This window comes from Homo sapiens, chromosome 16 (assembly GCF_000001405.40).
Source record: "Homo sapiens chromosome 16, GRCh38.p14 Primary Assembly".
NCBI classification, from domain to species: Eukaryota; Metazoa; Chordata; class Mammalia; order Primates; family Hominidae; genus Homo; species Homo sapiens.
The window spans coordinates 4,669,414-4,696,320 of record NC_000016.10 but is presented as its reverse complement, the minus strand read 5'-3'; the positions used below and the strand labels follow the sequence as shown (position 1 = coordinate 4,696,320).

At 59.6% G+C, this 26,907-nt stretch overlaps 2 protein-coding genes and 1 non-coding gene across 13 annotated transcripts in view, besides 12 other annotated features; all 3 read right to left on the bottom strand.

The window, feature by feature from the left end:
• Window positions 1-461: 461 nt before the first annotated feature.
• On the bottom strand, window positions 462-2,759 carry NUDT16L1 (nudix hydrolase 16 like 1). Of its 7 annotated transcripts, none has more exons than NM_001193452.1 (3): window positions 2,442-2,628; window positions 2,013-2,343; window positions 462-1,363 (listed from the first exon to the last, which is right to left on the bottom strand). In NM_001193452.1, exons 1-3 carry the CDS (start codon window positions 2,592-2,594, stop codon window positions 1,269-1,271), a joined length of 579 nt encoding a protein of 192 aa, NP_001180381.1. In that variant the 5' UTR covers window positions 2,595-2,628; the 3' UTR covers window positions 462-1,268. The 7 variants fall into 7 exon arrangements, with proteins under 7 accessions (NP_001180381.1, NP_115725.1, NP_001357516.1 ...); NM_032349.4 differs by having other exon boundaries at window positions 477-1,363; window positions 2,083-2,343; window positions 2,442-2,759; NM_001370587.1 differs by having other exon boundaries at window positions 477-1,243; window positions 2,083-2,343; window positions 2,442-2,603.
• Window positions 729-1,229: an enhancer, noted in NCBI's record as "H3K4me1 hESC enhancer chr16:4745093-4745593 (GRCh37/hg19 assembly coordinates)". NCBI's record gives its function as "activates a minimal SCP1, AML or CMV promoter by ChIP-STARR-seq in naive and primed H9 embryonic stem cells {active_cell/tissue: H9 hESC(naive and primed)}" and the evidence as "EXISTENCE:reporter gene assay evidence [ECO:0000049][PMID:30033119]".
• Window positions 1,832-2,339: an enhancer, noted in NCBI's record as "H3K27ac hESC enhancer chr16:4743983-4744490 (GRCh37/hg19 assembly coordinates)". NCBI's record gives its function as "activates a minimal SCP1, AML or CMV promoter by ChIP-STARR-seq in naive H9 embryonic stem cells {active_cell/tissue: H9 hESC(naive)}" and the evidence as "EXISTENCE:reporter gene assay evidence [ECO:0000049][PMID:30033119]".
• Window positions 1,832-2,908: a biological region, named in NCBI's record as "hESC enhancers GRCh37_chr16:4743475-4743982 and GRCh37_chr16:4743983-4744490".
• Window positions 1,939-2,438: a silencer, noted in NCBI's record as "silent region_7162". NCBI's record gives its function as "represses an Ori minimal core promoter by ATAC-STARR-seq in GM12878 lymphoblastoid cells {active_cell/tissue: GM12878}" and the evidence as "EXISTENCE:reporter gene assay evidence [ECO:0000049][PMID:35858748]".
• Window positions 2,340-2,847: an enhancer, noted in NCBI's record as "H3K27ac-H3K4me1 hESC enhancer chr16:4743475-4743982 (GRCh37/hg19 assembly coordinates)". NCBI's record gives its function as "activates a minimal SCP1, AML or CMV promoter by ChIP-STARR-seq in naive H9 embryonic stem cells {active_cell/tissue: H9 hESC(naive)}" and the evidence as "EXISTENCE:reporter gene assay evidence [ECO:0000049][PMID:30033119]".
• Window positions 2,549-2,908: a silencer, noted in NCBI's record as "silent region_7161". NCBI's record gives its function as "represses an Ori minimal core promoter by ATAC-STARR-seq in GM12878 lymphoblastoid cells {active_cell/tissue: GM12878}" and the evidence as "EXISTENCE:reporter gene assay evidence [ECO:0000049][PMID:35858748]".
• Window positions 3,099-3,188: an enhancer, noted in NCBI's record as "active region_10343". NCBI's record gives its function as "activates an Ori minimal core promoter by ATAC-STARR-seq in GM12878 lymphoblastoid cells {active_cell/tissue: GM12878}" and the evidence as "EXISTENCE:reporter gene assay evidence [ECO:0000049][PMID:35858748]".
• MGRN1 (mahogunin ring finger 1) overlaps window positions 5,349-26,907 on the bottom strand; it is a 66,147-nt gene continuing 44,588 nt past the window's right edge. Inside the window, exons 9-17 of one of the 5 annotated variants that reach the window (NM_001142290.3) lie at window positions 24,862-24,930; window positions 22,664-22,823; window positions 18,749-18,858; window positions 16,224-16,289; window positions 14,545-14,771; window positions 13,375-13,498; window positions 13,052-13,097; window positions 12,389-12,478; window positions 5,349-10,062 (exon numbers count right to left, since the gene is read on the bottom strand). In NM_001142290.3, coding sequence (NP_001135762.1) covers window positions 10,022-10,062; window positions 12,389-12,478; window positions 13,052-13,097; window positions 13,375-13,498; window positions 14,545-14,771; window positions 16,224-16,289; window positions 18,749-18,858; window positions 22,664-22,823; window positions 24,862-24,930 — 933 coding nt within the window. In that variant the 3' untranslated portion in view covers window positions 5,349-10,021. The remainder of the gene's footprint in view (window positions 10,063-12,388; window positions 12,479-13,051; window positions 13,098-13,374; window positions 13,499-14,544; window positions 14,772-16,223; window positions 16,290-18,748; window positions 18,859-22,663; window positions 22,824-24,861; window positions 24,931-26,907) is intronic. The other 4 variants (NM_015246.4, NM_001142291.3, NM_001142289.3 and 1 more) reach the window with 4 other exon arrangements.
• Window positions 5,571-5,935: a silencer, noted in NCBI's record as "fragment chr16:4740387-4740751 (GRCh37/hg19 assembly coordinates)". NCBI's record gives its function as "represses an EF-1alpha promoter that drives an FKBP-Casp9 reporter gene in an ReSE screen in phorbol 12-myristate 13-acetate-treated (for megakaryocytic differentiation) K562 erythroleukemia cells {active_cell/tissue: K562(+PMA)}" and the evidence as "EXISTENCE:reporter gene assay evidence [ECO:0000049][PMID:32094911]".
• Window positions 13,041-13,541: an enhancer, noted in NCBI's record as "H3K4me1 hESC enhancer chr16:4732781-4733281 (GRCh37/hg19 assembly coordinates)". NCBI's record gives its function as "activates a minimal SCP1, AML or CMV promoter by ChIP-STARR-seq in naive H9 embryonic stem cells {active_cell/tissue: H9 hESC(naive)}" and the evidence as "EXISTENCE:reporter gene assay evidence [ECO:0000049][PMID:30033119]".
• Window positions 19,458-20,080: an enhancer, noted in NCBI's record as "H3K4me1 hESC enhancer chr16:4726242-4726864 (GRCh37/hg19 assembly coordinates)". NCBI's record gives its function as "activates a minimal SCP1, AML or CMV promoter by ChIP-STARR-seq in primed H9 embryonic stem cells {active_cell/tissue: H9 hESC(primed)}" and the evidence as "EXISTENCE:reporter gene assay evidence [ECO:0000049][PMID:30033119]".
• Window positions 22,076-22,663: an enhancer, noted in NCBI's record as "H3K4me1 hESC enhancer chr16:4723659-4724246 (GRCh37/hg19 assembly coordinates)". NCBI's record gives its function as "activates a minimal SCP1, AML or CMV promoter by ChIP-STARR-seq in naive H9 embryonic stem cells {active_cell/tissue: H9 hESC(naive)}" and the evidence as "EXISTENCE:reporter gene assay evidence [ECO:0000049][PMID:30033119]".
• Window positions 22,664-23,253: an enhancer, noted in NCBI's record as "H3K4me1 hESC enhancer chr16:4723069-4723658 (GRCh37/hg19 assembly coordinates)". NCBI's record gives its function as "activates a minimal SCP1, AML or CMV promoter by ChIP-STARR-seq in naive H9 embryonic stem cells {active_cell/tissue: H9 hESC(naive)}" and the evidence as "EXISTENCE:reporter gene assay evidence [ECO:0000049][PMID:30033119]".
• MIR6769A (microRNA 6769a) lies at window positions 24,931-25,003 on the bottom strand. Its single transcript, NR_106827.1, has one exon. It is a non-coding gene; the product is annotated as a microRNA 6769a (primary transcript).

Sequence of the window (26,907 nt, the reverse complement as noted above, 5' to 3'; positions counted from 1 at the left end):
CACACCGAGCTCTGAGATGGAGCTGGGCACACTGCCTCCCTCACCGGGCCAGGCATGGGCTGTGCAAATTTTCTGACGATGCCGCTGGAGTCTTTCCAGATGTGGGGCTGTAGGAGACCACGAGGGATGGCTCTGCTGCTGTCCTTCTGCACAGTAAGCCTGCACTTCTACACCATCCCCTGGAGCTGCTTGCAGACAGTGGGGAATGGTGGGTTTGCAAAGCAAAGCAGGTCAGCCCAGGTGCAGCCAGGGCCACCAGGATCAGGAAGGGGAGCCTGCCCTGAAGGTCTCGGCCCAGACGCCCCAACCTGGCTGATGGGCACAGCATTCATGCTGGGAGTGCCCCCAGTAAACACTGGGGAACAAACGTGCCCCTGGCTGGGGCAGCTCCTCCCTCCCCCACCTAGGGCAGGGGGCCTGAGCTGGTTCCATCCAGAACCAAAACAAACACACAGGGCAGCTGAGAAACACACAGAGCAGCTGCGGAGCGACTTTATTGTCTTCTCCTTCGACAGCTTCGTTGTACATAGCTGGGCCCCCGAGGCCCTGACTGTCCCTGGGAACCAAGCCACGTGGGGTGAAGCTACTTTGAAACCTCACCCACAGTTCACACGTGGTGAAAGAGAAAATCTAGCAAAGTAAATCCAACAACAACCCAAATTAACAGTATTATTAACTTCCTACCCCAAGCTGGCTCTCCCCCAGGCCCTGAACTGGCTCAGGAAGGAGGCAGGAATGAGCTGACCGAGACAAGGCATCCTCCACCCACACATCCCATCTTCTGAGTGGTCCCAGAGCTGTGCGCCACCCCTGTGGGACAATCAGGCACTCCTGGGTCTCTACCAGCTGTGATGAGACGTACAAGAGGAGGGTCTGAGCCCAGAATAAACAAGAGCATCCTGAGGCTGGAGAGGCAGGCCCAGTGTGCCCGGACCACCCTGCTCTGCCTGAGAGGATGGGCTGGGTTCCAGCTGGCCCGGCCGCCACCTAGTGACTGCTTGGGACAGTGGAGATGATGACAGGATGCCCACTCGCCCTAGGCAGTCAGAAGCGGGGTACACACAAACACTCTAGAAGCCACACTTAGCAGGAATTCCCAGTCTTCCGGCCCAGGGGAGGGTGCCACCAGCTCAGGCAGCCCTCAAGAGGAGGCCGGGAGCAACTTCTCCAGGGCCTTCTTCTGCTTCTCGGTGGCTGCAGCCAGGGCCTCAACCAGCTTCTCCTCGGGCATCATGTTGAGCACCTTGAGGGCAAAGAGGAGCTGGCACTTAGCCGTGCTCACGAAGGCGTTGCTCAGGAAGTTGGGGAAGCCTCCGACTCGGTCCTTCTGGGTGTACAGCGGGACCCGCACGAGGCCCAGCACCTGCGCAGACAGGAGGTAGGGGTTGGGGCCAGGCCTGCCACACAATGGCACCTCCAGCAGGAGGGGCCTGGAAGCTATGAGGCCAGGGTATGAGCAGCCAGCTTTGCCAAGGACTTAATGGGAGACCCACGCAGGGCCTGGCAGAAGCCAGCCAGCTCCCTCGGAGCAGTGCAGCCCCCTCCTCCCCAAGCAAGTGTGGAGGCTGACCCCATGCACTCCCCCCCCTCGTACCCAGGCCACCCCACCCCGGGGTCCGCACCCCATGCTCCCCCCGTCCACCCAACGAAGCCTGAACACCCGCAGTCCAGCCCTTCCAGACCACAAAGTACAAATCCCAAGAGCCTTCACGCCCAACATGAGGTTCCCAAGTTTTACAACCCCCGCTGTGCTCAAGTTTCCCAACTCCCCAAGCAATCCCCGCTCCTCCCCCATCCCTTCCTCCCCACCGATCCCACTCCCCCACTCCCAGGATTGGCAATGGCAGGCAGCAAGGCGGATGTAACACAGCCCTGAGGGAGCCCCAGCGCCGGCCCCCACCCCCGCCCCTCCTTTCCCGGCCTCCCAGCCCCAGACCCCTCTCCCCACCCCATTGCTGGAGACAGCGACACCCGACCCAGCCCGGCCAGGGGACCCTCAGGAGACGTGTTACCCATCGGTGCCTTCCACGGGGCCAGAGCCAAACCCCGGGGCGGGGGGCGGGGCCCGGGCGGCGGCCCCACCTCCAGGCCGTGGTCGCGCGAGTGCACCGCGCTGATCTCCACGGCGTGCAGCTGCTCCAGCGTCAGCTGCCGCGCGTACAGGTGCGCCACGACGCGGTGTGGGCCCTCGGTCAGGTGCGAGCTCAGGTAGTCGGCCTCGGTGAGGCGCAGGCAGCCCAGGCCCAGGCCCAGCACCCGGTTCAGGCCGTCCTCCAGCGACCAGAAGCGCCGGTCCACGAAGCCCCCGGGGAAGCCCAGCAGCCCGTCGAAACGCATCTGCATCTGCAAGGGAGCGCGGGTCACAGCCGCGGGGTCGACGGACGCCCCCGCCCGGGCCCGCCCGCGCCGGCACCCTCGCCCGCGCCCTCGCCCGTCCTCACCAGCACCGAGAAGCGCATGGGGATGCGGCCGAAGAGCTGCCCAGGGTTGGCGGCGTACAGCATGGCGTGGCACGAGTGGCTCCAGCCCGGCCCTAGGCGCATCGCCTCCACCCGGCTGATCTGCTTCAGCTCCGGAACCGCCGCCGTCGACATCTTGGCACTGACCCCGTCCCCGCCGCTGCCACTTAAGAGCATGCGCGAGCCCGCCCCCGCCGTGCCTCGCCAATCCGCGGGCGGCCGCGCCCCCGGGTCCGGTTCCCCCGCCAATCGCCGGCGCGCCCCGGGACCGAGCCCCTCGCAGCGCCGCGGTGCGTCGTCGAGAGGTGCTGCGGGCGGTGTGCAAAGGAGGGCGGTGCGCGTCAGCCGTCACCCAATAGTCGCACACCCTGGGCGGCGGCCCCGCCTCCGACGGGAGAGCCTAGACGACTGGTCGGTGCCGTGGTGGCTCAAGGTTGACATTGTGGGCGACGAACATCTTCCTTGGCGCCCCAAAGCGGACAGCCGAAATTCCCTGCGGTTTCTCCACCCTCGATGGCGCCGATCCCCTTGCGCCCACCCGTTTCTCCCCAGGAGGCCGACCCGGCCCGCATGGCCCCGTCCATCCGCAATGGCACCCTTGGCACGACCACACGAGCCAGAGATGCCCCGGAGCCTTGCTCCGCCAGCGCCACCGGACCCAAGCCCGGAGGGAGATGGCCTTCGCCTGCCATGCACGACAGCTGTCCCGACCTAGCCACCCTGCTGGCAGGCTCGATCCAGGACAGCACGGGGAGCAGGGCTTGGCAGGGCTTGAGTGCCCCAGTCCCCGAGTCCACGCTGGGTCAGGGCGGACGACCGGGAGCTCTGGGGCTCTGTGGACCCAGCTTGCTGGGCAGAAAGTGACTTAAATTCCGGGGCTGGACCTTTCCAGCATCCTCCAAGCCGGGCACCCTGTGCCAGGTACTGTGGGGGGAAGAGGGGTTTCCCCAATTTACGATGAGGAACTTGGAGCTCAGAGAGGGACATAACTTGCCTAAGTACAACTGGCAGTTGATGACAGAGGCAGAATCCCGATTCCACAAGGGCCTGAGGTACTTACCACTTACCTTGTGTTTGTACTGGAGATGTCTCTGGGGCTCAGAAGCATCCGAAACAGCCCAAGGCAGAGCGAGGTGCCCTGAACTCCATGATGGCAAGGCTCACCTCACCAGCAGCAGGGCCCAGGGCCACTTTCCTCCCCACCAGGGGAATGGATTTGCTGAGCACATGAACCCCCCTGCCTGCACTCACAGCATGGGTGCCCAGGGCTGGGGCACAGCCTCGGGAGAGCCGTGCAGTGAGGCCGAGCTCGCTGGCACAGAGAAGGCTGCCTTCAGTGGAGGCAGGCAGGAGAAGAGAGAGGGAGAGGGTGGGCATTGGAAACTCACCTGTTAGGTCCGTGGTGGCCTCAGATGTGGAGAATAAGGACCCAGAGAGGGCACCTCTCTCTCCTCCTGTGGCCACCAGTGGGTCAGGGGTCACATGGGACAGCTGCAAGCAGCAGGGGAAGTCCAGATTCCAGAGTGAGCGACCATGTGAGAAGGCGAGAGGGCAGCGAGGGGAAGGGTCCTCTCACCCAAAGAGGGCCCCACCCCTAGGCAGCCAAGCCCAGCCAGCGCCCAGGGCCCGTGGGACGCAGGGGCAGAGGAGGAGAGGCTCCCCTTGCTGCAGCCCCTCCCCGAGACCAGACATCAATACAAGCGCTGGCTCTTCTGGGAGGTACAGAGGGGGAGCCCATCTGGCCCATGCAAGCACCCGTCTGACACCCTGGGCACCCCTCTACCCACACTGGGATGGGGCCAGACCCAGGCAGGTCAGAGCAGCTGCAGGGCCCATGGGTGGCAGCCTTCTCGGGGCAGGGACTGATGGGCTAGAACACGGGCTTTCCCTCCACCCTCACAGTCTTCAAAGAAGGGCCATGGTGGCAGCTTGACCTGCACGCAAAGGAGCTGGGGCCCTGAGTGGTAGGCAGTGGTGTGGTGGGTGCCCTGGGGCACTGGCCACTCCCTGGGCAGGGGAGCGGGGGCTGTGCAGAGGCCTGGGGCCGGGCTCCAGCCTGCGAGCCCACAACCATGGGCAGCTAGACCTGCTCCCACCGTCCGGCCTCCACACGCCAGCCGCAGGGTGCTAGCACTGCTTCTCCGCTTGGAAGCCTGTTTTTAAAACTGACTCCCCCTTATAAAAACACTCCAGCAGCCCCTACAAGCTCTTCAGTATCTATCCAGCACCCTTCACTCCAGCCAGGGGCTCCGTCCCCAGGGGACACATCAGGCTCACTCCTGCCACCTGGAACACTCTTCCAGGGCCAGCTCCTCCTCAGCCCTCAGGGCTGTTTAAGTCTCCTCAGAGAGGCCCTCCCTGCCACCCGGTTAAATGAGACCTTGTACGGGTTCATCTCACCACCATGCTGACTTTCTTCCTAATAGTAACCAAACCTGGCAGGATTCTGATTAGCTGCTGGGCATCTCACTGCCTGGAAGGCAGGCGCCCGGGGCCAGGGCCGGGGCCTCAGCTCTTCTGCCTCCACTGACGCACAGCAGGTGCTCAGCAAATGCCTTGAGATGATCAGGACTAGAGATGGGGACCGGAGCGACTACTCACAAACCTGGAGGCCCTGGGCTCCCCAACCACCTGTTCACGAGAGAGCCCAATCTGGAGGGTGTGGCTTCCCTCCAACCAGACAACTAGCCCTGACAGGGATGGCTGGGAGCTGCCCGTTCTCGTTAGCCCTCACCTTGCTCACTGCCCTGACCCCAGAGGGAAGCCAGGCAGAGGCCGTGGAGCTGCCACGGTGCGGGAGCCACCGCCAACCACCCAGCGGCAAAACTCCGGGTCAGGAAACAGCCACAATCCTGAGGGCTGCACCCGGAGGAAGGAGCAGACAGGATATTGCTGCATGATTTTATTACTATAAATATACAGTAAAAACGAACCAACGATGAGCCCATCTGAGCACATCAGACGGCAGCACATGGGAGTCCCAGCGGGCCACTCTGCGGCCCGAACTTCACGCAAAGCTCTGGCACCAGGACTGATGGCCAGAGGCTGGGGCCTTGGTGGGGGCGGGGGGCGGGCGGTGCAGGGGGCTGTGTGTGTTGTTGGGGAGAGGTGCATGGGGGGAGAGAGGTGCTTGGGGTGGGGTAGAGGTGCGTGGGAGATGCTCGGTCCGAGTGCACACACATGCATGGGAACATGTGCAGGAGTATGTGCGTGTGTGTATGCGTGACAGCATGTGTGAGCGTGAGTGTGCATGTGTGAACATGTGCGTGAGCATGTGCAAGTGGGCGTGCATTTGTGTGTGTGTACGTGTGAGCGCATCTGCGTGCCTGTGCACGAGCGGGAGGGGTGGCTGGCCTGGGTGTGCAGGGAGCTGGGTGTGAGGACCATGCTGTCCACTGCTGGGTCTCGCCCAGGAGGCGGACCTCATGCTCGGAGCCACCGTGAGCCTCAGGGAGGGTACTGAGCTGCCCCACAGCCGACCTGTCCCCAGGCCCAGCTGCAGGGCAGCCCTCCAGAGCCAGGTGAGCAGCAGACACCTGCCTGGCCCAGGGCTCCGCAGGGGTGGATCCAGCCCTGGGTCACCAGGCCCAGGCACTCCCTTTGCCATCTGCGGCCCAGGAGGTTTACCTTTAAAAAAACAAACAAACAAACAAAAAAAACAGGACGAGGTCGCCCAGAGGCCAAGCCTCCCGGCCGGGACCCCATTCCCCAGGTGTGCTGCTGGCTTCCTCCTCCCTGGGCCAGTCCTGCCACAGAAGCCTGAGACAGAACAAACCAAATCAGAGAGAACTGCAAGGGGGCCGGGCGCGGAGGCTCACGCCTGTAATCTCAGCACTCTGGGAGGCCGAGGCAGGTGGATGACCTTAGGAGTTTGAGACCAGCCCGGCCAACATGGTGAAATCCCTTCTCTACTAAAAATACAAAAAAATTAGCCGAGCATGCTGGTAGGCACCTGTAATCCCCAGCTACTCAGGAGCCTAAGGCAGGACGATCACTTGAACCCGGGAGGCGGAGGTTGCAGTGACCCGAGATTGAGCCACTGCACTCCAGCCTGGGCAGCAAGAGTGAAACTCCATCTCAAAAAAAAAAAAAAAGAGAAGAGAACTGCAAGGGGACATTCCAATGGCAAAAGAGAATGAGGAGGCCACCAGGTCCTCCCTGGCAGGGGCCTGCCAAACAGAAGCCCCTGCACCTGGAGGGGCCTTGTGATGTCACCAAAGCCAGCACCAGGAGGAGGTGTGGAGCTTGGTGACAAGGCCACTGAATGCTGGCTGCTGGAAGCAGCTGTGCCTCCGCCCCTCGGCCAGGCCCAGCACCGGGCTGAGACACTCTAGCTGCCCAGGGCGGCACCCATGCACCCCAAGGCCCCGAGCACTGAGGGCCCCAGCGCAGACGCACCAGGGAGGGCACTGAGGCCGCGCAAACACGGCAGAGGACAAAAAGCAGCGACAGCCAGGCCGCCACAGTGACACGCAGGGTGGGTGGACAGGCACTGTTTCCTTCATTGACCGTGCCTGGAGCCCCCCACTGCCCCTGAACATCTGTGAAGATGGTGCTTCGACCACCAATCAGTTCTCTTCTGCAGGCCTCCTGAGTTCTCCGGGCAGGGACCGCACTGTTGCAGGAGCAGGCAGAGCCAGCGGAGGCCACACGTGGGCAGCCCCAGCCCCAGCCGCTCAGCCCACAGGACCCTGGGGAACGGGGGCTCTGAACTAGGGATGGAAAGCTGCTGTCCTTCATCTTGTACCAGTTACAAATATATCAACTGTAGAAAAGGGAGACTCAGAAGGGACAGTTCACTGTGCTCTTTGATCAAGAGTCACCACGGCCCCTCGGAGCCTGGTGGCCACAGGGGGCATGCAGACAGGAGGCCGGCTCACAACGGGGTCCGGAGCAGCCCCTCGGCAAAGTCTGGGGAGCCGAGGGCTCCATGCTGCCAGCTCGGCCAGGCTCTCAGAGTGGGGTCAGCTCGGCGGCGCTGGGATCGGGGCTGGGGCCACCAAGTGGAGGCCAGGTGGGGCTGGTGGTGGCGAGGCCGTGGGCCGTCTCCATGGAGGTGGGCCGTCCTGCAGGTGGGAGCAGAGGGAGGAGGGTCACACTCGGATGCCTGGTGCCACGCCACCCGCTCCTACCGATCTGGAGCCCCAGAGGGGCTGGGCCATCCAGCACCCCCACTCCCGCCGCCTGTGGCCACAACAGCATTCACTCAGATGTGAGCACACCAAGGGCCCGGGGACTCCCTAACTGTGCCAAATACGCTGTGTCCCTCTTGGGACAGACGATCCCAGATCCCCGGACACCCACAGCAGATCTGCAGCCCCGAGTCAGAGCGCGACACGGCACCGCGGTGGATGCCCTCTGGGCCTCCTGCCCTTGCCCTGGTTCCGGTTTCCTGGGATGTGGCCAGCCACTGTCCTGCCAAGGTTCTTACGGCTGGGTTAGGGTGGAACTCGGTCAACCCAGGGTGCAGGGGTGGGGAGCGGCCCTGGGTGAGAACAAGCCCGTGCTCAGAGTAGCCCCCGGATGGCTACTGCAAGGCAAAGAGAGGAGCCTCCCACAGAGCCCCAATGCCCAGACTGTGGCCTGCACGACGCCGCCGGGCGCTGTCCCCAGATGGGTCTGGCGTCCCTGGGGCTTGGGCAATGGTGCTGGTGCAGAGCCTGGGACGGGGCCAGCATGGCCTCAGGGCTGCCTGACACCCAGCCACCAGCCCTGACACATGGCTCCCAGCAGACACGGCCCAGGCCCCACTCTCCGGTGAAGGGCGTCTATTTTCTTCGGGGGCCGCGGCGAGAGCAGGTTTCCGAGGCTGTGAGCCCTGTTCTAGATCACACCTGCACTCCCCAGCTCCGGAAGCTTGACCTGAATCGTGACATTCGCACGGCACCTTCCACCGATGCGCAGGCCGGGGCCGTCTGAAAGGTGCTGACTGTTTCAATCTAGGGGTATAATGGCTCAGGACAGGGGTCAACAGAGGGACTCGCTGGGCTCAAGAAGACAGAGGTTCATGGGAATGCAGAGCGCAGTCAAAAGAAGCGAAGTTCTCCCTGACCCGGCTCAAGTCCACCCAAGGGGAAAGGGCCTCTTAGAGCCTGCACCCCCGGCCAGGCACCTCCCAGCAGGCTGCATGGGCCTCGGCAGACCAGAGCTGCACGCAGCTTGTGTGCCAAGACCCTCTGGGAAGGCAGAGGGTCCCCAATCCGTCTGCCTACATTTTGGTGGCACTCCTGGAGCTGCCTTCTCTCTCTCCCCCGTGTGTGTGTGTGTGTGTGTGTGTGTGTGTATTTTTTTTTTCTTGAGACAGGGTCTCAGGCTGGAGTGGGTGGGTGGGTGTGTGTGTATTTTTTTTTATTGAGACAGCGTCTCAGGCTGGAGTGGGCCTTGACCTCCCCAGCTCCGGCAATCCTCCCACCTCAGCACCCCTGAGTAGCTGGGACCACAGGCACAAGCTACCACGCCCAAGCCAATTTTTTATTTTTCATAGAGAGGGGGTCTATGTTTTCTACACTGATCTTGAATTCCTGGGCTCAAGTGATCTATCCCCTCGGTCTCCCAAAGTACCGGGCTTATAGGTGCGAACCACTGCCTGGACAGAGCCGCCTTCTGTAAAACACTCACCTGGGCCACCCTGGTAGAGGGCGCCTCTTGGGGGGGATGGGGGATGCCAACCTCACAGGGCCTCCTATCTTTTAGTGCTGGTGTTCCAGAAGGTTCCAGTACTGGGAGGGACAGGTGAGTCGGCAGCAGTGGGCTCATGGCACAAAGGCAGCCCACGAGGGACTGTGTGCCAGGCCCATGGTGATGCCAGGCCCACGGTGGCCATGCTGACAAGGGAAGGAGGGAGCGGGGGAGCAGGTGGCTGTGTGAGCGGACGCCCTCAGGACAGGACGCAAGATACTCTCCCCTGGGCACCAGAGGGCCCCTCGAGGACGGACTCCCTCCAAGAGACAGGGACTGAGCTTGGGAAGACGTGATCCAGGGGCTCTCCCAATCGGGGCGCATTCTTTCCCCATGAATTGTTAAAGCCACGACCGGAACACGGGAGTGGACCTGCTGAGCGTCCTAACGTGTCTGCTGCAGGACCGATGCGAACTCATGGTGGGACCATCCGGAACAAGGCCAGGCCCAGGCCTCTCCCCTTGGGACGCTCACCCCATGTCTCCCTGGGGTTCCCTCCACGGTGCTGCCCTCATCCCTCAAGCTCCTGCCTCCCGCAGTGGACAGTGGCTCTGGCGCACCTGGGCTGTGTCTGTCTCCCTGCCTGGGCTGGGACTGTTCCAGGGCCCCTCAAGGCTGGAAGAAGAGCCTGACCGGCCGCCTAGTCCAGATGGAGAGACCTCTGGCCCCGAAAGTCAGGACCCCCCAGGAGGCCACTTTCTGGGGGAAGGTGCAGCAGCCACTGGAGAGCTCTGGATTCGGAATCCAGGGCCCCTGGGAAGATGCGGATGCGGACGAAGACCCAAAAACCAGAAGGAACCCCCGCCAGAGAGCAGGGGAGGGCTCCTCTCTCCAAGGACGCGCGTCAGAGCCCCCGAAGCGCGTCTGGGAGGTCACGTACCGGCTTACTCGTCTATACCAACAGAGCAGGAGTCGGGCCCCAGGGCTGCGCGGAGAGGGGGAGAGACAGACGGAAGCTCGGTTAGCAAGCGCGCAGCAGCCAGCACAGCCACAGCAAGGGCACCAGCTTGGGGACACGGTCGAGGCCGTCTAGAAACAAACACTCTGCTGCAACCACAGAGAACCACAAGGAGAACCACAGCTGGGAGGCAGAGCGCAGCCAGAATTCAACGCGGAGGAGCGCACTGGCCCTGCCCCTCCCTCCCATACCTCCCGCTGCCGCAGCCTAGGGAAGGGCGCATGAAGGACCTAACGGGCGCAGTCCACCTCTGGTTTCAGGAGTGAAGGCCCTGGGTGGGGGGCTGAGGCTAGACAGGACCGAGCTCAGGGCCAAGTCCAAGACACCAGGGCCCCCAGTGTTCACCATCTCATGGGCCCTCCCATCTACAGGGACAGCAGGGTTCAGTGATGCCGCCCACCCCGCCAGGCAGCGGCTGCACCCCTATGAGAAACCAAAGGCTCTGGCGTGTGTTCATGCCTTACGCACAGACACGGATAGACAGTCAAGGGCTCTGTGATGTGAAAAAGTCAGTGGAACAGAGGGGCCACCACATGGATTTAAAAACACACAGAAACCTGTGCTGACAAGGCTGACAGCCACGGAGATGGCGCCAAACAGCCCCCAAAGGCACATGTGCTCTCCGTGGCTCAGAACTGAGGCCGTGCAGGCTGACCTGCTGGCATTCAGCAGCAGCCAACTCCAAGAGCGGGGCCCAGGGCCCAGGAGTTCACCTCAGGCTGCCCCGATGTAGACTCGGCCTCTCCTCTACCGCCTCCACAGATGACGACTGCCTGCCCCCGTCTGTGGGCCTGAAGAAGGCCCGAGACCCTCCCCTGTGGGTGGGGCATGAGACTCGGAGTCCTGGCCTCCTCTGTGTGGGCCTCCTCTGTAGCTGTCCCAATCCTTCCCAGGCCTGGCCACAGAGGGGAGGCGCAGCCTCTGAGATGCTCCCCCACAGGGCCACCCTGCAGGATCAGATATCATGTTCGTGGCTCCCAGAAGCTGAGGTCCTTCTGGCCTCTTCCCCGATCACCCCCCAAGTTTTTAATCAGAATGAAATATTTGAGATCCTCTGAAAGACCTTACTCGAATTCTGTGTCACTTTAAGGTAAGCTGGTCCTAAACACACCTTCTGCTGTGAGTTGTTCGGGGCAGGCCGCTGTGGTCATCAGGGCACCAGAGGCAGTGCCTGCTCCTGCACCTGCGACCTGTCACGCCCAGCCCATGAGCACAGGCCACTGCTCAGCCAGAGTCCGGGGGCACAAGAGCCCCTTTCCAACTAAAGCACGTCACAACCACCCAATGTCAGGCCCAGGTCACCAGGTGACTCAGGAGGATTGAGCAATGGTGGGCCCTGGGGCCAGGAAGCGGGTGAAGCCTGGCAGCCGCGAGGGAAGAGCCACACTCCCTAAGCAGTGGCTCTGGGGTCATGTCTGAAAGCACCGTGGCTGTTTATCGCAGTTCCAGAGCCGCAGACAGCCTCGTGGCAGGTGCTGAGACACTAGTCTGAGAGCCCCCATTCCCTCCCGGTCTTTAGAGCTTAGGATTCGAAACTGAGGATCTTATCCCAGCAGAGCAGAGCACGAAGGTGCTTGGCTGATGGGGTCTGGGGCCCGAGCCTCCGGGAAAGGTGAGAAGAGCAACCCTCTGTCCCAGCCTTGCTGCCTTGCTGTTCCCCGCTGGCGCCTGGCGCCCCCGCCGTCCTCTGTGCCTGGCCTGGGATGTGCTGCTGCATCAGGTGGCCTCTGTCAGGCCCGGGGCAGGGTGACCCAGAAGACACTGCCCCTGCGCTCTGTGGCCCAGGGCCCCCGCTACCCAGCACAGCGTGTGGTACCTGCTCCTGCTCTGTCTGCAGCTCTCAGGCACTGCCAGGAGCGCACGTGGCACCCAGCATGGGGCCTGTGGGCCCACGATAGGACCAGGAGTGGGGGAACATGTGGTGATCCCAGTGGGGCCGGATCTGCCCTCCTGGCGTGAGCAGCAGGCAGAGGGAAAAGGACCCCATCCTCTCACAGGCAGCCTCTCTCGCGTCTCTCACCTCCTGTGGCCAATGTGGCCCCAGGGAGGGAAGGGGCTTTGGTGCAGGTTCCGCTCCCAAGAGCCAGGCCCTGCCTGAGGCTGCTTTGTGGCCATGGCCCTGGCCCGCATCCTGCTTCACGGTCAATAGCAGGGGCATGGCTGAGAGCCAGGGAGAGAACCAGGCTCCAATGGACAGCCTCTGCTGCTATGCACCGACCATCAGAGCAGGGCCCCCTCCCTGGGGACTAAGACAGGCACCCAGCCCCTCACCCCCAGACCCCCAGCCCCTTACCTGGCAGGTAGATGTCAGCAGGTGGGCCTCGGCCACAGTGCTCGGGGCTGCTGTCCTGCAGGACATTCTCAATGGAAGCTGCTCGGGTCCCTGCAGGCAGAGGGTGAGGTTAGGGACCTACAGGCAGGGGCCAGGTCCCGGCAGGTCCCTCTGGGCAGGAGGCCGTCTCTCTTACCCAAGGGCTCTGTAGCCACTGTGGGGACCCCAGGCTTGTGCTCCAGCAGGACTCCACCGTGACCCCACCTGCTCTCCAGGGACCCCAAAGCTGGGTGTTTCCCTTCTATTTCCCTCCTTCCCATCCCCCAGCATGGGGCTTTTTTTTCCCCTTTTTTACACTGTGTCCTGGATGTTCAGAGCATAGGGCTTTTTTTTTTTTGGTCATAGAAACATTACACGCTCATGTTTCAAAACCAGGACTGAATGCTGGCAGGTGTTCCCCATCCCAGGCAGACAGCCCTGCAGGGTCAACAGCGCAGCCTGACCCAGTCACCCGTTCAGTCCCTCCCAGCCGGGATCCCAGTGCCGCCGAGGGGGGCCTCTTGGCCGAGGGTTCCTGGGGCAGAAGAGGTGCTGGCCCAACACCACCTGGAGCCCTAAGGCCCCAGTAAGCCAGGGCTGCCTGGTCCCTGCATGCGGTTTGTGCCCATGGAAGGAGGCGCTCACCTTGCTGTGGTGACGACGACTCATCAACCTCTTCTGTTATGAAACTCTAGGAAACAAAGGGGAAAGTAGCCTAGAGCTCAGAGAGCCGCGGCCACCGCTCCAGGACAAGCCGCCATCAGGCACGGCCCTCCCGGGACCGCACAGCCGCTCCACCAGGGGGTGCTGCCTCCACAGACCGAGGCTAAGGAGCCGCGCAGCTCAGCAAGAGCCAACAAGCACGGGGGCGCCCAGGCGGGCAGTGGGATGGGGTCTGATTCCAGCGACAGAAGCTGGAGGAGGGCTGGCCCGGGCGGGTGCGCAAAGCTTCCCCGGGGGGGCCTCACCTCAGGGGAGCTGCTTTCCCGCAGGGCCAGCTCTGCGCCACCCAGTGGGGGAGGGGCGTCCACGTCCTCGGAGAGCTTCTCCTCATCCTCTTCGTGGATGGGGGAAGACGGGGACCGTAGGGTGCTGGGGACAGAGGAGAGGGTGGGCAGGGGTGAGAGGATAACGACAAGGAAGGCTAACCCTGCCAAAGCCATGCAGGGCACCTGGGGGCCCCTGCACACGCCTGCCAGGACCCACGCAAGGACACTCCCTGGAGAAGGGCATCACCAGCCACCGGGACCAACCCAAACGGCCAACAGGCAACAGCGGCCACCACAGACCCGCCCGACAGAGGGGCTCCCGACACACTGGCACGGGCCTAGCCTTCCTTTTCTTTCTAGAAGGAGAAGAGAAACCGCTGGTGGTTCCTGGGGAGGAGAAGCAGCAGGAGACAGAGGCCCCCGTTTCTCTGAGCTTTGGCGCTGCCTCCTCGTGGGCATGGAGGGTGCCCAGGGCGGGCCTGCAGAACCCGCGCCTTCCTGACACTCTTCTACGAGAACCGACAGGCCTGAGGCACAGAGTCCCCCTGGCAGCCGCCGCTCTATACACCGCAAGGCTCCAGGGGAACCACGAATGACCCGTGGCCAACCCCAGGAGCCAGGCCCTCCGAAGGCTGTCGTATGAGTGATGGATGATGCACTCATCGCCTGGAGAGGGACCGTGCCCCGTGGCTCGTCACGGGCGAACGGCAAGAGCAGTGAGTGTGCCTGGGTCACTGTCAGGTCCTGAGTTTCGGCTGCCCTGGCTGGTCACCGGCAGAGTGGGCCTACGTGGCCAGCCCCCCAATGAAGTCTGGGAACCCAGAGGCTCAAAGGGGCTCCCCTCAGCAGAGACACAGCACCGACCCCTGCAGTTTCCTGCTCGAGAGCACGTATGCGCCTGCACGCCGGTGTGGCCCTGGTCGGGGGATCAAAGCCTCCAGCTGCCCGGACGCTCTTCCTGCCTCGTCTGCTGCGTTCTTTGCCGTAATAAACTTTACCCATGAGTCTAACCTGATACGGGGTCTCCGAGTCCTTCTGGGGAATCGCCACACAGAACACATCACAAACTGATTTGAAACCACAAAGACACCCGCTCCGCACGCGCGCCACCACACACCCTGCCATGCACCTGGCCTGGCTGCTGCTCACCTGTCGGGGGCCTTGCTCTGCGGCCTGCCCTTCTGGCGGCTGCTGTCCAGGATGTGGTCGATAGCCGCGAGGGGACAGCTGGCCTGGGACAGGCCGTCCGAGATGCCTGAATAGGTGATTTCTTCATAAAGAGGGGCCGAGGGGATGGCCGGGGAGACAGCCCGGAGGCCGTTGAGCGCCTCGAGCAGCGAGATGGGCTCGTAGCCAGGTGGGACGCTGTCAGAGTTCTGTAGGGACAGGGTGCGTGAGGGGGCTCATGCCCAGGGACCACCTGCTCCCCAGACGCTCCTCCTGATGACCTCCTGTCCACTCTGTTCTTTGGGGGATTGAGACTCCCCCACCCTCAGAGGGTGGCCAAGAGCTCCCTGGCAGCACCGATGCCCTCCCTGCCTCAGCCATCAGCTCCAGCACGGGGCTGGATGCCCAAATGCCCACGCTGGTGCCTGGGATGACGGGCACGAGGGCATCTGCCAAGAACCGCCCCAGCCCTGGCCTCAACCAGCCCCTCCCTGGCTTTCAGTCCCGCCTGGCCCCAGGTGGAGAGTGAAGGGTTAGTGACAGACAGGAGCTGGGAGCGGGGGCAGAGCAAAGCCATGCCAGAGGCGAGAGACACGGTCAGGGGCGTCCTGGACCAGGGAGAGCTGAGCTGTTGGGAGCTGTGCCCTGCCCGGGCCTCTGGGGGCTGACCTGCTCCAGGTGGTTCTAACGGGCACCCTGGCTAAGAGCCACTGTTCTTCCCTCACTGGGAGCAGACAGAATCAACAAGGCTGAGGAAGAAGGAAAATGCCCAGGTTCTGGGGAACGGAAGTCAGACTGCGGGGGCCCCTGCTCTGTCCCCACAAAACCAGGTTGAGGGGCACAACGCTCGTCAGTGCTCCTTTCGGGAGACCCCGGCCTGCCTGACCGAGCTCCTGGAAGGAAGGGGAAAGTGAGATGGGTGCGGGATGCCTGGAGACCACGGGGAGGTGGGGGAGAAATGGGGGAGCGGGCACGGCCCGGGCAATGAGCCCGGGATGCTTTTCTGGACCTCTGTGTACCCCACATTTGCTCCCATACCTGCCTCCAAGTTAAGGGTAAATAACCACACAGAATCCCCTCACCCCTCTAGAAAGGAAAACACGGTCCGGGTGGCTCCGGAGTGGCCTCCACCTTCTACACCAACGCACACAGGGTTTCGGCTGGGTCTGCCTGGGCCACGGAGGCTCCAGGTGGTTGTGTGCTGGTCCCCCTGCCTGCTCCCTGGGGCACAAGGGAAGCCCAAGGAAACCAAAAAGCTCAGCCCAAGGAGCTCGAACCCGCAGGGTAAAGGAGCGGGACACGGGGCCAAGAAGCATGCGCGGGGCGCGATTGCAAAACGCAGCAGCGACGTTAGTTCCGCCTGCAACGTCCATTCCACTGCCAGCAAGAAAAAAAAGGGAAACGGCACGGGGGCCACGCGGGGCGGAGGCAAAGCTGAGGGGAGGGCGGCGGGGCCAGCGCACCTGGCGTTTCGCCCACGGACCGAGAGCTTTTCCGGTTCCACAAACTCCCTGGGCAGGGAGGCCGGGACTGGGCAAGTGGAGCTGACGGGTTATATGAATCAGACACTAGCCTGGGGCGGAAACGATCTCCCCTACTTGTCGTGGGTTTAAAAATGAGGGCGGGGGCAAAAAAACGTAGCCGGAGGACCAGACACTTACTGTTTCCCTTTTAGGTTTCTTGCTGGCCAGGGAGGCGGGGTGCGGCTTTGATTTTTTAAAGGGACACTGTCAAGATAAAAATCATATGTTTTACAACTACCACCCCCACGCGGCCCTGGAGTGGGCTGGACAGGTCTGACTGGCTGTCCTCTTGCCACACCGTGGCGCAGAACTTCACAAGCTTCCGGGGGACGTGAATCTCGGGACTGTCCTAAGTGAGGGTTGACTCGGGTCTGGGTGGGCCATGTGTGCGTCTCGGCAGCTCCCGGGAGCTGTGCTGCTGCAGTGGGGAGGCTGTGGAGCCCAATCTCATCCCCATTGCCTGTCCCCCCGCAGTCTGGGTCACCTGGGGCAACAGATTTGGCCAAGGTGGACGTGAGGGCAGCTGAACGCTGCCTAATGCAGGCTGGGTGCAGGGTGGAGATCCTGAAGCCACACTGGTCAAAGTCCCCCAGCCAGCCGGTGCCCAGGCACCGCCGCTCACTTATCACCAACCATGAACCCCTCAAGAGGGCTGGGGAGAAGAGTCAGCCCCAGACCCACCCACCCCACCATCATCTTTAGGCACTCGCTGGAGAGAACACCCACGGTGGCTCTTTCTGTCACTACGTGGAAGGGGCTCCAACAGGAACCTGGCAGGTGAGGAGGAGCGTTTGCTTTTGCTCCATGCAGAGAGGACGGCGGCTCCCTGGCTGGGTGCCAGCCCTTCTGGGGCATGTGGAGGTCAGAGCTGCCTGGTCACACCTCGGACCCCGGCCGCCCAGCTCACTCAGCATAAGAGGGACAAACATGGAGGGACCTACTGGATCCTCAGCCACCAGAACACAAACAGGGAGGGGCAAAAACAAGGGACAATAAACCTAGCCACGCCTGAGCATCGATCACTCCCTAGGTGAAACCCTCTCAGAGGCAAATCCCTCAGGGGCTGCTTCTCTCTCCACCAAAAACCTGAGCACACGCAGCGTTTCCGAATCAAAGCCAACATCAAAAGTGCTGGAGAGCGTGGTGCCAGGAGCCCCACGATGGTAGGGGCCTAGAGGGCCTGGGTTGACAGGGACCCCCAAGCCATGTTTCTCCTCTAGCATCAAGACCATGTCAGATTTTAAAAGACAAACCCAAAATCTGGGTTTTAAGGGAAATTCCAGACTTTTAAACATTGACCCCATTTCAGAAACATTGCACCTGCTGCCAGGGAGGCCCATAGGGCCCAGGTCAAGGCCCTGATCAAGGGGGCTTGGGAGGAGCCTTCTAGAGCAAAGGCGCTGTCTGTGAACGCCAGTCCTCAGGGCTCTGCTCCTCTTTTCTGTTTAGAGAGGCAGCAGAGCCTGGAAGAACCAACGGCTCATAACAGCCACAGCTAAGAGCCAAGAAAGGCACTCAATCTGACAATGCGCGTGGCCAGTGGGGAGCAGGGGGCCTAAGACCCGGGCCCAACCAGTCACTGTCCAACTCCCCCATTCTGCTCCCTGCCCACCACAGCCCCTGCCACCCATCCCCATCTCTGTCTCTCCCTGTGTCTCTCCACATCTCTCTCACCCTGTCTCTCCACATCTGTCTCTCCGTCTCTCCACATCTGTCTGTCTCTTCCTATCTCTCCATCAGTCTCTCCCTATGTCTCTCCACATCTTTCTCTGTCTCTCCCTTTGTCTCTCCACATCTCTCTCATCCTGTCTCTGTGTCTCTCCACATTTGTCTCTGCCTCTCCCTGTGTCTCTCCACCTCTCTCTCGCCCTGTCTCTGTGTTTCTCTGTGCATCTCTCTCCATGTCTCTGTCTGTCTTTGGGTCCTTGAAGCCAGGGTTCCACCTCCCTTGTGTTGCTGAAGCAGGGCCTGCCCTTAAGGTCCCCACTGAGGGCGCCTGGTGGGCCTGGAGCGTGGGAGGAGGGTCACCAGTGCCCCTTGCACAGCAGCGCATGGGGGAAACAGCATGGCTCATTCACTAAGAACCACGGGGTGGAGGCGGTGGCTCAGGCCTGTAATCCCAGCACTGTGGGAGGCTGAGGCAGGACTAGCACTTGAGCCCAAGAGTTCGAGACCAGCCTGGGCAACATGGGAAACCCCACCTTACTAAAAATACAAAACATTAGCTCGGCGTGGTGGTACACGCCCGTGGTCACAGCGTCTTGGGAGGCTGAAATGGGGGAATTGCTTGAGGCGGGAGGTCGAGGCTGCAGTGAGCTGACATTGCACCACTTTGGGTGCACACCAGCCTCGGTGACAGACCGAGACCCTGCCTCAAAAAGAAAAAAAAAAAAAAAAAAGCACCTGGCTCCACCGAGACCTCGACCGCGCTCAGCCTTGTCGCAGGCTCTGGTACTGATGGCAGCAGCGCTGTTCCCAGCAGCGGCACCCCAGGGCCCAGCCTGGCCACCCCCTTCATGCCTCACAGCCATCCATGGGGGCCATGCCTGCCCACTGGACAGAAGAGAACACGGGGCTGCTGGCTGGACCGTCTGGGCCTTGCGCCTGGCCCAGGCACTCATGCCCCTCTCCCGCCCATCCCGCAGGCAGGAGGCGGCACTTACAGAGTGCTCATCATGCTCCAGGCTCTGGGCCAGGACGGGGCTGAAGGACACGGGGGACAGGGCTCCTGGCTTCTTCCGCACCGCCCGGATCTGCAGGAGGGCCCGGAAAGCTGCGGCAGAAGGAGGGCTCAGATCAGGCCCAGGCGACACACCCAGCCCCGAGGGGACCCTCCCAGCCCCAGGGATCAACACCCCCCCCACACCATAGGGGTCCTGGGGTGACCCCGCTTCCAGATCACAACGGTCTTTTTTTTTTCTTTTAGTTTTAAGGAGCAGGAATTTAATAGGCAGGAAAGATGGGGGAAGAAAGAAAGAAGCAGCTCCCCTGTACAGAAATAGAGGGAGGGGGCGCTCCAAAGACGAGAGACAGAACTCCCGCAAACACAGTATTAATGAAATGGCCCCGGGCAGGAAACACAGCAAGGCCATGCAGTGCTGCCCAAGGCGGGGCTCCAGAGGGTGTTTCCAAGAGGCTGGTGGCCATGACCCCCAAAGCGTCACACCCCTGAAGCTCCAGGCTGCACCCGAGACAGGACGTGACTGCAAATCAGCAGTCCTGGCTGAGCCCAGAGGAGCTCTTGGCTGCAGGACAGGATGGCAGGCGGGGACATCACACTGGGGAAGCTGAGGTGGGGATGTCATGCTGTGGAAACTGAGACAAGGACATCATGCTGAGGAAGCTGAAGTGGGGAGTCACGCTGGGGAAACTGAGGCAAAAACATCACGCTGGGGAAGCTGAGGGGCACAGACAGCAGCCACTGGGAGCAGAGAAGATAAACCAGGACCTAGGATGCCCTGTCATCCCACAGTGCCAGTCCTGCTCACACAAGGGCCCCACAGGCTGCTGTAGAATGTTCCTGAGACACCTTTAGTGACGTGTGCAGGCCAGGAAACCGAACCACCAAACCACCAAACCAGCCACCTCCAACAAACCAATGCATCTGCCGTCAGCCCAGGGACAGGGCCTCAGGCCTCCTCTGTGTCAATTTCTACTGAGAACAGCAGTCTCTGCCCTCGGGCGCCTGTGAGGGGCCCCTCTACCGCCACGTCCTTGAGGCTCAAAGCCACACGGGAGCTCTGAACTCCAGTCTGATGGCCCCGACCCACTGACCCCACACACCTGAAGATTCCAGAATTGGACTCGGTTCAGGGCACCCTCCCTGGAAAGCAGCCCTGCTGTATCTCCAGCCACACAGCCACCCTGAGGCTCAGTCCTCAACACTGCCTGCCTCCTGGGCAGGCACAGAGAACCTTCCTAGACAGCCCACCCCTGCCCCCACTTCCTGGTCCCTGCCCCCGCAACTCTGTGGCTTTCAGACAGGAGAGGCCGACAGACAGCCTGGGCCGGCCCTCCCTGCTACAGGATCTGCCACAGGCTGGGCGGCCGGCCTCTCCCTCCAGGCCCCAGCAGCCTCTTCACTTACTCCTGGGATCTGGACACATCCAGTGACCCCATGGCCTGACTGCACAGACCAGCATCCTCGCACAGCCCCACGCCCGGCTTGGAGGTCTGCTGGCCTACTAAGCGCATGTGTCCTGCAGCTGCGCAGGCAAATCCCCAACTATGCTCCGGCCCCACCGCCAGGACCCAGGCCAGGGATCCCAGGATCCAGGGCAAGGGCCTACCAGTGGGATGTGCACTTTGACCTGGTCGTTTTTTCACCCTGAGAACATTCAGGTTGTTCCCTCTACTGGAAGACACTCAGAACGGGGCCCTACGAGCGGCTTTTCACTGAGGAAATGTCTGGAATGCTCTAGAAAACCCAATTTAATTCCTTGGTCAATTTTCTACCCAGCATACTTTGTTTTCACTTCGCTATAATTTTTTTTTTTTTTTTTGAAACAGGGTCTTCCCCTGTCTCTCAGGCGGGGGTGCAGTGGTGGCACAATCACAGCTCACTGCACCCTCAACCTCCCAGGCTCAGCCGATCCTCCCGCCTCAGCCTTCCAAGTCACTGGTACTATAGCCAACACATCTGGCTAACTTTTAACTTTTTGTACAGATGGGGTTTCGCCATGTTGCCCAGGCTAGTCTCGAACTCTTGGGCTCAAGCGATCCTCCTGCCTTGACCTCCCAAAGTGCTGGGATTATAGGTGTGATCTGCAACCAGCGTTATGCTAAAAATTTATTGAAATATTTTCTATTTTACCTTTAAAATAAAGATCTGAGCTGGCCATGGTGGCTCATGCCCATAATCCCAACACTTTAGGAGGCACGAGGACCACTTAACCCCAAGAGTTCGAGACCAGGCTGGGCAACATAGCAAGACCCTGTCTCTACAAAAAAAATTTTAAAAACAAGGCAGGGCCCTGTGGCTCTGCCTGTAATCCCAGCACTTTGGGAGGCCAAGGCAGGCAGATCACTTGAGGTCAGGAGCTTCAGACCAGACTGGGCAACAATGTAAAACCCCATCTCTACTAAAAATACACAAAATAGCCGGGCATGGTGGCACATGCCTGTAATCCCAGCAACTCAGGAGGCTGAGTCACAAGAATCATTTGAACCTGGGAGGCAGAGGTTACAGTGAGCCAAGATCCTGCCACTGTACTCCAGCCTAGGCAACAGAGTTAAGACTCTGTCTCAAAATAAATAAATAAATAAAAGTAAGTAATTAATTAAAAAGCGGTGGCTCGGCCAGGCGCGGTGGCTCACGCCTGTAATCCCAGCACTTTGGGAGGCCGAGGCGGGTGGATCATGAGGTCAGGAGATCGAGACCATCCTGGCTAACAAGGTGAAACCCCGTCTCTACTAAAAATACAAAAAATTAGCCGGGCGCGGTGGCGGGCGCCTGTAATCCCAGCTACTCGGGAGGCTGAGGCAGGAGAATGGCGTGAACCCGGGAAGCGGAGCTTGCAGTGAGCCGAGATTGCGCCACTGCAGTCCGCAGTCCAGCCTGGGCGACAGAGCGAGACTCCGTCTCAAAAAAAAAAAAAAAAAAAAAAAAAGAAAAGAAAAGAAAAGAAAAAAAAAGAAAAGAAAAGAAAAAAAAAAAAGCGGTGGCTCACGCTTGTAATTCCAGCACTTTGGGAGGCCCAGGAGGGCAGATCACGAGGTCAGGAGTTCCAGACCAGCCTGACCAACATGGTGAAACCCCATCTCCACTTAAAACACAAAAATTAGCCAGGCATGGTGGTGCAGGGCTGTAATCCCATCTACTCAGGAGGCTGAGGCAGGAGAATCACTTAAACCCGGGAGGCGGAGTTTGCAGTGAGCCGAGACTGCAACACTGCACTCCAGCCTGGGTGACAGAGCGAGACTCTATCTCAAAAAAATAAAATAAAATAAAATAGCCAGGCATGGTGGCTCATGCCTGTAACACCAGCACTTTGAGAGGCTGAGGCAGGCAGATTACTTGAGGCCAGGAGTTCAAGACCAGCCTGGCCAACATGGCAAAACCCCATCTCTAATAAAAGTAAAATATTAGCTGGCCATGGTGGCAGTTGCCTGCAATCCCAGCTACTAGGGAGGCTGAGACAGGAGAATTGCTTGAACTCAGGAGGCAGAGGTTACAGTAAGCTGAGAACTCGCTACTGAACTCCAGCCTGGGCGACAGCACGAAACTGTCTCAAACAAAAAATAATAAAAATAAAATAAGAATAAAGATTTCATTCACTCATCAATTTTCGTTCAGTTCATCTGCCCTGGAGCGCCTCTGTAGCCCTTTGTTCTGCAAGCCTTGCCTGGCTGGAGGCAGACGTGAAGATCTGAATGCCCCGTGCTAGCGTCCCTGCCAGCTCTCTCACGGTGACTGACTCCGACAGCCAACACGCCCACGTTCAGCACAGACTAGATGAATGACAACTCTTCTTTCTTAGCCATCAACGGACCTGTGGCCCCCTATCCCAGGACCACCGTGGTGTGGCCAGTCCCTAATTTCCAGAACCTTCCACAGAACAGCCGGCCGGGGAACTCACGCAGCCGGCAGATGGGGCAGTTGTTGGCCTGGTAGCGCAGCGTGTCGGCGCAGGAGGTACAGAGGCACAGGTGGCGGCAGGGCAGGATCAGCGTGTCCCGCAGGTCGGACAGGCACACCACACACTCGTTGCTGTTGTCGCTGTTCTCGTCGTCCGAGGGCTGCCGGGACAAGGGCTTGTGGGTCAGCAGCCTCCCAAAGGCCAGAGTACGGCTCCTGCTTCCTGTCCCCAGCTGTCCCACCCCACTCCACCCTACCCTGGGGGCTGTCATGACAAAGAGAAGTCCAGAGGGGAGGGGGAGGTTGCCCCAGAGCAGAATCACCAGGCTCAAATCCAGTGCAAACTCAGCACCTGGCAGAGGGGGAGGGTCTGTGCCCCTCACCCACCCAAATCATGAGAACATGGTCTCTTTCTGTTCTTCAGACCTAAAGAAAAAATGAGGAACAGATGCACCTAAGAAACACATCTTCCTGAGGGTCAGGGTACCCGTTATCTTTGGTTTAAAAAAAACCAAGTTAATGGTCAGGCGCGGTGGCTCACGCCTGTAATCCCAGCACTTTGGGAGGCTGAGGCGGGCAGATCACGAGGTCAGGAGATCGAGACCATCCTGGCTAACATAGTGAAACCCCGTCTCTACTAAAAATACAAAAAATTAGCCGGGCATGGTGGCACGTGCTTGTAGTTCCAGCTACTCAGGAGGCTGAGGCAGGAGAATGGCGTGAACCCAGGAGGCGGAGCTTGCAGTGGGCCAAGATGGCTGCCACTGCACTCCAGCCTGGGCAACAGAGCAAGACTCCATCTCAAAACAAACAAACAAAAAAAACAAAAAACAAGTTAATATGTTAGAAGTATTTTCATTAATGGCAGCTACCAGAAACCACATTAGCAACTGGACAAAAAGAAAGCCAAAAATCTAAAACAGGTGTCCACAAACTAGGCCTGTGGCCTGTTTCTATAAATAAAATCTTACTGGAACACCGCCACACCCACTCATTTTTATACAGTCCCCGCTGCTCCTGTTGTAATGGCAGCGTGGAGTCAGTGCAACAGAGACCATATGCCCGGGCGGCTGAAAACATTCCCTCTCTGAACCTTTTCTCAAAGTGGGCCGCCCCCTGGTATGAAACATGAATGCACTGACTTCCCTGGGTTGAGGCGAGGCCCGGCCAGGTGCTCCGCTCCCGCCACGTGGAGCTGCTCCAGTTGTCCTGGGCCCAGATGCCATAATGAAGCGGGCCTGTGAGACTTTCCAAGAGATCTTAAGAGGCAGGAGTTTCACTCATGTCAGTGTGCCTTTTAACAAGTTCATCGACCAGGCGTGGTGGTCTCAGGCCTGAAATCCCAGCACTTTGGGAGGCTGAGGCAGGCAGATCACTTGAGATCAGAAGTTTGAGACCAGCCTGGCCAACATAGTGAAACCCCATCTCTACTAAAAATACAAAAATTAAAAATTAGGCTGGGCGCGGTGGTTCACGCCTGTAATCCCAGCACTTTGGGAGGCCGAGGAGGGTGGATCACAAGGTCAGGAGATCAAGACCATCCTGGCCAACATGGTGAAACCCCGTCGCTACTAAAATACAAAAAATTAGCCGGGTGTGGTGGCGCGTGCCTGTGGTCCCAGCTACTCAGGAGGCTGAGGCAGGAGAATCGCTTGAACCCGGGAGGCGGAGGCCACAGTGAGCCAAGATCTCCCTGCTGCATTACAGCCTGAGCAGCAGAGTGAGACTGACTCAAAAAACAAAAACAAAAAAAACTAATTTCATCCCCTGCTACATTCCCTGACTGGGGTACACCACGGCTTATTTGTCAGGCACCAGGACTGGTTCTATGGACATACAGAATAAGCATCCCTCCCCCAGGAGCTGCAGGGACGTGCTGTCTCTGGGGAGGCGGGCAGGAGCCGGGCAGCAGGGTGCCACACACCTGAGCCTAGAGGGTGAGACACTGGCCCCCATTCCTGGGCTGCCCTGGGGAACCTGGATGGCAATTTACATCAGAAGCTAGTGAATTTGCTGGAGAAAGGATAAAATGTTCCCTAAACTGTTAGCTTTAAAAAAAATTAAGGAAAAATGATGTTGTCTAGCGGGTCTAGGACTCCAGGGGAAGGCATGGAAGGGAACCGGCAAGCATTGCTGTCCGCGGCTGCTCCTGGTGTGGGCTTCTGTAATGGCAGAGGGAAACCTCACCCAGATACACACCTTGGTCTCCTGGTTGTTCTTGTTCTCAATGCCATAGATCTCCTGCAGGAGGTAGCTGACCCGGTCCACCTGGAGAGCAGAGAGGGGCTCACTGGGCCCTCGCCAACTGCCATATGAGGGCTCCTCCATACCCACCTGGCCTAGCCCTGCCTCCAACTTACCAGGCTTCCATACCAGGGGTCAGTCCAGCTCAACCCCTGGGGGCCAGGAGAAGGGCAGGGAAAACCTGCTGCTTGCCCCCACCCAACCAGCAGCACCTGGAACAGGGCTGGAGCCGGTGGCTCTCCCCACTACTGGGGGCCTGAAGCCAACCCACAGGCCCAACCACCACCCCCTGACCGCCTCACCACCCCCAACACCACTTGGCTCCACCACCACCAGCCCCACGAGGAAAGCAGGAGCTGACGCCTGAAGGCACCAGACAGCAGCCTAAGTTCCCACTGCTTTCCAGATCCTCCTTCCAAAAGGCATGAAGCCTCTCTGGTTTCAAAGACGCCAAAGCAATGTCTCCAAGCTGATTCTGTCCTGCCACCCACTTGCAACCAAAAAGCCTCACGCTGACCACATTGCAAAGCGGTTTGTGCTGCTGGGTTTCCCAGAGACCATGGGCCAGGAGCACCACTCCAGGGAGCCCAGGGCCTGCTGGTCAGCTCTCTCAACACAAGGCCCTGACCATCACTGGGGTCTCCTGTTCCCCTGGTACCTGCAGGGACCTGGACCTGCTAGAGTTTGCTGCACCTCTCTTTTGTTTATTGTGATTTACATTTTAAATAGACAGGATCTCGCTACATTGCCCAGGCTGGTCTGGAATCCCCAGGCTCAAGCAATCCTCCTGCCTCCACCTCCCATAGTGCTGGGATCATAGGCATAAGCCACTGCACCTGGACAAACTCTCTTCTAAAAAGCTAACAGATGGCCGGGTGCAGTGGCTTACACCTATCATCCCAGCACTTTAGTAGGAGGCCGAGGCTGGTGGATCACTTGAGCCCAAAAGTTTGAGACCAGCTTGGCCAACATGGCAAAACCTCATCTCTACAAAAAATACAAAAATTAGCCAGGCATGGTGGCGCGTGCCTGTAGTCCCAGCTACTCGGGATGCTGAGGCAGAAGAATCACTTGAACCCAGGAGGTGGAGGCTACAGTAAGCTGGGATCATGCCACTGCACTCCAGCCTCGGCGACAGAGTGAGACTCCATCTCAAAAATACAAAACAAAATAAAACAAAACAAATTAACCAACTGTGGTGGCGCACACCTGCAGTCCCAGCTACTTGGGAGCCTGAACGAGAAATCACTTGAACCTGGGAGACAGAGGTTGAAGTGAGCTGAGATCGCGCCACTGCATTCCAGCCTGGGCAACAGAGCGAGACTCTGTCTTGTCTCAATAAAATAAAATTAAAATTAAAATTAAATTAAATATTTAAAAAATTAAAAACTAACAAAAATCATTCCCAAGTGGTGGCTTGAAACAGGTCTTATGCGCCCCAACAGTACACACGGAGTAACTGTTAGCTGTGGCCTAGGACATCTCATTAGCAAGATCTAACACTGCTGTTTAGGGCACCCCATCCTCTAAATTCTCGGTGCCTACTTGTGAGGCCACCAGGAATAACACTTCCCAATGCAGCATCCCAGGATCGCTGACCCCAGAGAACAGATGTACTGCTCTATAGCTCCATTTATTCTCAACTATTTAATCCTTCTTTTCAAGTATTGATGAAGTCAAGCTAAGTCTCTGTCCAATACTGACATATTGGACAATTTGTAAGGAAGAGGAGAAGGAGTTGCAGACTTTGTTTCTGGTCTCTTTCCTTCCTTTTCCATCCATCCATTCGGCAAATATTTACTTAACACTATGTTCCAGACACAATGGCTCAAACTGGACAGAACTCAGGGCCTGCAGGCGTCCCTGTACATGGCGGGCACGCAAAACATATATGCTCACCCAAGACAGGGACCCGTCGTCCCAGAGCTTAGAGCTCTACAGGGAAGTCAACAGGCTGTTGCACAGCTTTTTTTTTTTTTTTTTGACACAGTCTTCCTCTGT